This window comes from Homo sapiens, chromosome 2 (assembly GCF_000001405.40).
Source record: "Homo sapiens chromosome 2, GRCh38.p14 Primary Assembly".
NCBI lineage: Eukaryota > Metazoa > Chordata > Mammalia > Primates > Hominidae > Homo > Homo sapiens.
The window spans coordinates 113,159,953-113,167,640 of NC_000002.12; the positions used below are offsets into that span (position 1 = coordinate 113,159,953).

Sequence of the window (7,688 nt, forward strand, 5' to 3'; positions counted from 1 at the left end):
AAAATAAAATATAATAATCATCATAATAATAACATTATGGGGCCACACAATGAGAATTAAGTGGGCAGCAGACCCTGAGGTTTTCAAATTTAGTATTAGGTTGGTGCAAAAGCAATTGTGACGTTTGTCATTACTTTTAATGGCAAAAACCACAATTGCTTTTGCACCAACCTAATAAATGCCCAGGGAATGAAAGATGAGAAAAAACCTGCCTTCCGGGAAAATTCCAATAATCTATTTTTATTTTCATCCTTAAAACTATTAGATGATCTCATTAACAGGTTTTTCTTAAAAAAAAAAAAAAAAAACCAGCCCAAGAGCATATAAATCATTAGCATTTATTGAACACATACTATATGCCAGGCCCTACTTTGGGTAACTTGTGTGCAGTAACACAAATAATTCCCGCAGCAAGTCTATGCAGTTTATACTATTATGATCCCACTTCACAGATGGGAAAACTGAGGCCCAGAGCAAGTAAGAAAGTTGGCCAAGGTTACATGGGTAGTAAGTGAAGAATCAGAATTTGCCATCAGCTGGTGCCATTTTTGAGCCAAGTGCTCTCATACTATGCTGTAACAATGTCAGAGAGCCAACCTTGGGCCCAAATTTTGAAGATATTCTGTCCACCAAAATGGACTTCTGACTGCCCTAACTTTTGGAGAAGCTCCTAGTTGGCAAATGAAATTGGTCCCTTTATAAAATAGTCGTGGCTGGCCGGGCGTGGTAGCCTGTAATCCCAGCACTTAGGGAGACTGAGGCTGGCAGATCACTCAAGGTCAGGAGTTCGAGACCAGCCTGGCCAACATGGTGAAACCCCATCTCTACTTAAAAAGAAAGAAAGAAAGAAAGAAAGAAAGAAAAATACAAAACTTAGCCAGGCATGGTGGCTCACGCCTGTATTCCCAGCTACTTGGGAGGCTGAGGCATGAGAATCACTTGAACCACGAAGGTGGAGGTTGCAGTGAGACAAGATTTTGCCACTGCATCCCAGCCTGGGTGACAGAGCAAGACTCTTGTCTCAAAAAGAAATAAATAAATAAAATAAAATAGTTGTGGCCATGTGGCATATTCCACAAATACTGGTCTCAGACCATGGTGAGGATGCGGGTGCAGGGTGAGGACTACATAGGGTGCGGTAGGTCAGTGGATCAGATCCAGTTAGCCGGGGCTCAGCCTTGTGCCCAGGAGGCTAAAGCAGGAGGATTACATGAGACCAGGAGGGCAGGTTTTGTCCATAGTGCATGACAACAGATGGTTAGAGAGAAGACAGCTGCTGGGTTTGAGCACATTCTACTTCTCTCCTTCTTTAAAAAAGATGTTTTTAAGATAGTACTGGCCGGGCACAGCGGCTCATGCCTGTAATCCCAGCACTTTGGGAGGCCAAGGCAGGCAGATCACCTGAGGTTAAGAGTTCAAGACCAGCCTGACCAACATGGAGAAACCCTGTCTCTACCAAAAATACAAAATTAGCCAGGCGTGGTGGCACATGCCTGTAATCCCAGCTACTCGGAAGGCTGAGGCAGAAGAATCGCTTGAACCCAGGAGGTGGAGGTTGCGGTGAGCCGAGATTGCACCATTGCACTCCAGCCTGAGCAACAAGAGTGAAACTCCATCTCAAAAAAAAAAAAAAAAAAAAAGATAGAACTTACATAGGTTAACACTCTTTAAAAATATTTTTAAAGGCAATATTTACATGTATTCAAAAATCTTTTTAAAATATTAATGCAAACAGCCCTTAAGGTACACAGTGAAAAATCTCTTTCCCTCTCCTGTCCTGTCATCTCCAATTCTCCTCGGAGGCAATTTCTTGAGAATACTTTCAGAGCGACATATTCTATTTGTAAACAAGCATATATGTATGTATACCTTCCTTGTCTTCTTCTTTTTTTAAAACATAAATAGTAGGAAATAATACTTAGGTATGCACTTTTTAAACTTAATATACTTAATCATTCTGCTTCAAGACATATAGACAGGTTTCATCTTTCTTTCTTTTTTTTTTGAGACGGAGTCTTGCTCTGTTGCCAGGCTGGAGTGCAGTGGCATGATCTCGGCTCACTGTTACCTCCGCCTCCTGGGTCAAGTGATTCTGCTGCTTCAGTCTCCTGAGTAGCTGGGACTACAGGCATGCACCACCACAACCAGCTAATTTTTGTATTTTTGGTACAGACGGGGTTTCACCATGTTGGCCACGATGGTCTCGATCTCTTGACCTCGTGATCCACCCGTCTCGGCCTCCCAAAGTGCTAGGATTACAGGCATGAGCCACCATGCCCGGCTTTGCTTTTTTTTTTTTTGGAAACAAGGTCTCACTCTGTCACCCAGGCCGGAGTACAGTGGTACAGTCATGGCTCACTGCAGCCCGACCTCCTGGGTTCAAGTGATCCTCCAGCCTCAGTGCCCTGCCCTGCCCACCCTCTGCCCAGTAGCTGGGACCACAAGCAGGCGCCACCACGCCAGGCTGAATTTTGTAATTTTTGTAGAGATGGGAGTGTCACTGTGTTGCCCAGGCTGGTCTCAAACTGCTAGCCTCAAGCAATCCTCCCACCTCAGCCAGCCTCCCAAAGTGCTGGGATTATAGTCGTCAGCCACCACACCCGCCTTCATCGTTTTTAAGTACGTATATGCTGCTGTATCTCATTGAATGAGCTACCATATTTATCTAGCCAGTGCACTGTGGGTTTATAAGCTATTTCCCCCATCTCTATTTGTTTGCTGTGATAGACAATAACACATTAAGCATACCTGTACCTATATAATCTCAGTTCTGTGACTGTTTCAGCAGGAGGAATTCATAAATGTGGTTTAAAAGTTACTGCCAGTCTGCTTTCCGAAGGCATGCATGTCTTTGTACTTAGGAGAGTGCTGCTTTCCCCTCGGCTCCACCAACTTGATGTATCATCAACTTTTTATTCTTCCCAATTTGACAGATGAGAAAAATGCCATCATGCTATAGTTTAAATAGGTATTTCTTTCTAGTGAGTTGTGTTACAGGACTTACAAGCTATTTGTATTTCTGTGGACTGTTCATATACTTGGCCTATGTTTTCAATTGGGTTTTTGTTGTTGTTACTGAGTTATCATTTCCTCTTCATCTCTCATTCCTAGTCCCAGTGATTTCCCCTCACACTTACCCTCTAACCCTACCCTCATGAGCAACAGCTACTCTGACATATTTATGATAGGTTTATCCTTAGATTTGGATGTATTTAAGAAAGATATATGATGTTGATTTATATATGCATGTATTTTTAACCCTACATAAATTGCACTATGGAGCTGGGCACAGTGGCTTATGCCTGTAATCCCAGCCTTTTGGGATGCTAAGGTGGGAAGATTGCCTGAGGCCAGGGTTTCAAGACCAGCCTGGGCAACAGAGCAAGACTCTTGTCTCCAAAAAAAAAAAAAAAAAAAAAAAGGTAATAATAAAAAAAATTAGCCAGGTGTGGTGGTGCACTCCTATTTTCCTAGCTACTTGGGAGGCTGAGGCTGGAAGATCACTTGAGCCCAGGAGTTTGAGGCTGCAGTGAGTTATTATAGCATCACTGTACTAGAGCTTCAGCAACAGAATGAGACCCTGTCTTTATGGGGTCACAATTGCTTCGTGCTATAAATCCTTAAATTTTTCTTGCTTTTTAAAACCAGCACTATTTTTTTTTTTTTTTTGAGACAGAGTCTCGCTCTGTCAACGATCTTGGCTCACTGCATCCCCCGCCTCCTGGGTTCAAGTGAGCACGCTCAGCTAATTTTTGTACTTTTAGTAGAGACGGGGTTTCACCATGTTGGCTAGGGTGGTCTCAAACTCCTGACCTCCAGTGATCCACCCGCCTCGGGCCCCCAAAGTGCTGGGATCACAGTTGTGAGCCACCATCCCTGGCTAACCAGCACTATGTTTTTTTTTTTTTTTTTTTTGAGAGTGAGTCTCACTCTGTCTCCCAGGCTGGAGTGCAGTGGTGTGATCTCGACTCACTGCAACCTCCGCCCCCCCAAGGTTCAAGCAATTCTCCTGCCTCAGCTACTCGAGTAGCTGTGATTACAGGTGCCTGCCACTGTGCCTGGCTGATTTTTGTATTTTTAGTAGAGATGGGGTTTCACCATCTTGGCCAAGCTGGTGTTGAACGCCTGACCTCGTGATCCACCCTCCTTGGCCTCCCAAAGTGCTGGGATTATAGGCATAAGCCACCGCACCCAGCCACCAGCACTATTTTTTAAAAGATCTATTTGACTGCAGTGTGTACTCTTGGTTTGTTGCTTCTAATTGCTGCATTGTACTCTGTAGCTGGAGTTAGGGAGTTATTGTAATAGTCAATTCCTACTGGATTGGTCTAGAAAGGTTGTATGGAGAATTGGCATTATGGGGTGAGCCTCGAAGGATGAAGAGGACTGGGGAAGGAAATGGAGCTGTCCAAGAGGACGTATGAACATGCCAAGAACATTTAGGGAAGGACCCGTTGCCTGCTGAGGCCATAGGTCAGGGTGTGGTTGTGTGTGGTCATAGGAGAGGCTGGAGAGGTCTCAGATAACAGCGTTGGACATTCCCTAAAGCAATGGAAGAGAGAGGCAGTTAGGGGCATTGTTAGAGAATGGGGGACGAGGGTGCCAGGTGAAGATTTTCTAGGACAGGAGTGATCTCTCAGTGGAGAATTAGGCAGGCAATTGCTGCAGTCCTCCAGAAAAGCGAGGACGCGCTCTGTGAGCTGGTGGAGCCCAGGGGCCTGCAGGGGAGGAGGATCCAGCAGGACTGGGTACCAAAGCCATGAGGGGAGAGGGACCTGGGCTGGTGCCAAGGTTGCTAACTTGGGAAGCTGGTGGATGTGATGCCAGTCTAGACAGGTCCTGGGAGGGGCAGGCACGGGCATGGGATGGGAAGGATGCTTACAGGCATGTGAGCAGGCTGCGAAGTCTGATGCTCTGCTGTACATCCAGCTAGAAGATTCCTGCTGGTAATTAAGACGCTGGGCTAGAGAGGGAATTGTGAGCCTTTAGTGAGTAGGTGGGAGGTTAACATGTGGGACTGGGTGAGGTCCTCACAGAAGAATGTGAGGGCGAGAGATGCCCATCAGGAACAGAGCATGGGGCAGGTTTACAGGGAGGAGCTGACAATAATATGTGGTGCCCTTTTGAACTCTGGCCTTTCCTGGCTTGACAACCTCTGGAAATTATCCTCTTGGCATGGACTCTGTGCTGCTGTGGAGCCTGGGCAGGGGAGGGATGGGAGGTGGGTATATACAATAAGGCCCAACGAGTGGACTCTGCCTTTCTGGAGCTCTCAGTGCGGCCTTGGAAGATGCATAGATGTATTGAGTCAGAGAGGAGGGAAATGGCCCCAGGAAGCTTAGGTGTGCGGGCTCTCCTCCTGGGGTATGAGCTCCGAGGCCCCAGCGCTCTTCCTGCTAGGAGCTGCCAAACCAGCCGTCCCTTTTGTCTTCTGAAGATGACAATGGATAGAGTGTGGGTCAGCTCCTGCTGCTGCAGAGGGCACTGCGAAGCTCACGGCTTTGTTGCTATGGGCAGGGTTAAGCATGAGCCTCCCCAGGGGAACACGTGACCCTTTACAAGGCCCAGGAAATGTCCTGCTCTGAGTTTGTCTTCCTCCTTCACTTTGTGAGAGCATACCTGTTCTCTGTTTAATGACAGAGCTTTGCTTTTCTGCAAATCATACCCGCTTGAATTCGTATTCAGTGATTGGTGGCCAATCAGGGCTAATGAGCATTATAAGGAAGACTTTCAGCTCTTTCTCCAAAGGAGAAAATGCTGCAAAGGTCAGATCCAGCTGCACAAAGTGTCTGCTCTTTACATATCCCTACTATAATTTTTGAGATAAGAGTTTTGATATTTATTTATATTTATTATATTATCAAATAATATTTAATATTTTTCTGTGAATACATATACTTAACAACATAAAGTAGATATTTTCTACTTTACTGTGTTCCTAAATCACAGGTTTGCTACACTCTATCTTATTCTAGTGCATATTGAAGTAAATGCTTAACTATTAATGTTTAGTATGTGTACCACATATCCATGTAGGCAAACACAGCCTCAGATTTGTGGGTTCATGGAGAAGGTAATCTTGGGGTTCATGGAGAAGGTAATCTTGGGTTAATCTTGTTAGGATATGCTTTATCCTAACCCTAGGTAGGGGAGGAAATAACCCTTTTCCTCTTCCTTCTTAGGTTTAGGGACTGGGACCTGCAAATTAAACTGACAAAAGCCAGATTAACAGAAGAAAAAGGTTTTACTCACATGTACATGGGAGCCAACAAAAGTAGTAGCTGGCTTGTTAGATAGTTAAAGTTCAAGGCCATGTACCTAACTCAGTAGGGGAAAGGGAGGGGGCAGAAACAGTAACTTTATTATTTTTGCTGATGACAAACATAAAGTATATTTATTTTAAAAAGTTGAATACATATGAAACAAGCATGAAGAAATTGAAATCATGTATACTGTTGCCAGGCACAGATAGCTACTGTCAATCAATGCTTTGATGTTTTATTGCCTAAATACACAAACACAAACAAGTTTTTTAAAAACTGGGACCATAGGCCGGGCGCAGTGGCTCACGCCTGTAATCCTAGCACTTTGGGAGGACGAGGTAGGTGGATCGCCTGAGGTCAGGAGTTCGAGACCAGCCTGACCAATATGGTGAAACCCCATCTCTACTAAAAATGAAAAAATTAGCCGAGCGTGGTGGCTTGTGCCTGTAGTCCCAGCTACTTGGGAGGCTGAGGCAGGAGAATTGCTTGAATCTGGGAGGCAGAAGTTGCAGTGAGCCGAGATCGCGCCACTGCACTCCAGGCTGGGCGACAGAGCAACACTCCATTTCAAAAAAAACCAAACAAACAAAACAAAACAAACAAAAAAAAAAAACTTGGGACCATAGTGAAATTATAAATAGTTTTCTTATTTAACAAAATTCTATGAGCATCTTTCCATTTCATTAGATACTCTTTAAAAACAAAATGGCTAAAGGTTGCCTAGGTTCACCATATGGGTATATGGTTACCCAGTAATCTATCCATTTATCTCATTCTCTATTGTGGATATTGAGGTTATGAGCATTTTTGCCATTATAAGTAACTGCATGCACATGTGTTTCAGCAGATGTTTTGTGGGTGCCTTCTGGTGCCAAGGGGGCTGGGGGAGAGAGGATGAATAACTACAGTGCCCAACTCACTGCTCATGTGAAAAGGACAGACCTACAGCAAGTGGGCTTATCTAAAAAAGAGCTGGGAAGGAGCCCAAGAGAAGGACCTTGAGAGAGAGAGTCTGAGCCGAGCTTTTGTGCTGGGGCAGAGGAGAGCCAGGGAGCTGTGACCTGGGTGGCCCTGTCCCTGGCCGTCTGTCCACAGACACTGGGTGTGCTTCATTTGACTGGCCACGGGCGGGCAAGGACAGCCTCCCAAGGTCACTGCGTTGGTACGGGATTGGGCAAACAAGTGCAGAGATGGAGGCTTGTCATTCACTTTTATAATCACTTCCTGCCCTTCTCCAGAACACCCAGGGCAGCACCAGCGCACACATGTGCTCAGAGGTTGGTGATGTCAGCACTGGGCTGGGCTGTTCTCCCTTTCCTCTTTTCCCTGCCTCTAGGAGACTTCTCCCTCCCACTCTAAGGTCACAGGCGGCAAGGAGAGGCACCTTTGGCCCCTGCCACGTGCCCAGTCATTGGAAGCCCTGGC

At 45.5% G+C, this 7,688-nt stretch overlaps 1 annotated feature.

Moving 5' to 3' along the window:
- Nucleotides 2,920–3,214: a silencer, noted in NCBI's record as "tiled region #7144; HepG2 Repressive non-DNase unmatched - State 23:Low". NCBI's record gives its function as "represses a minimal TATA promoter and a strong SV40 promoter by Sharpr-MPRA in HepG2 cells {active_cell/tissue: HepG2}" and the evidence as "EXISTENCE:reporter gene assay evidence [ECO:0000049][PMID:27701403]".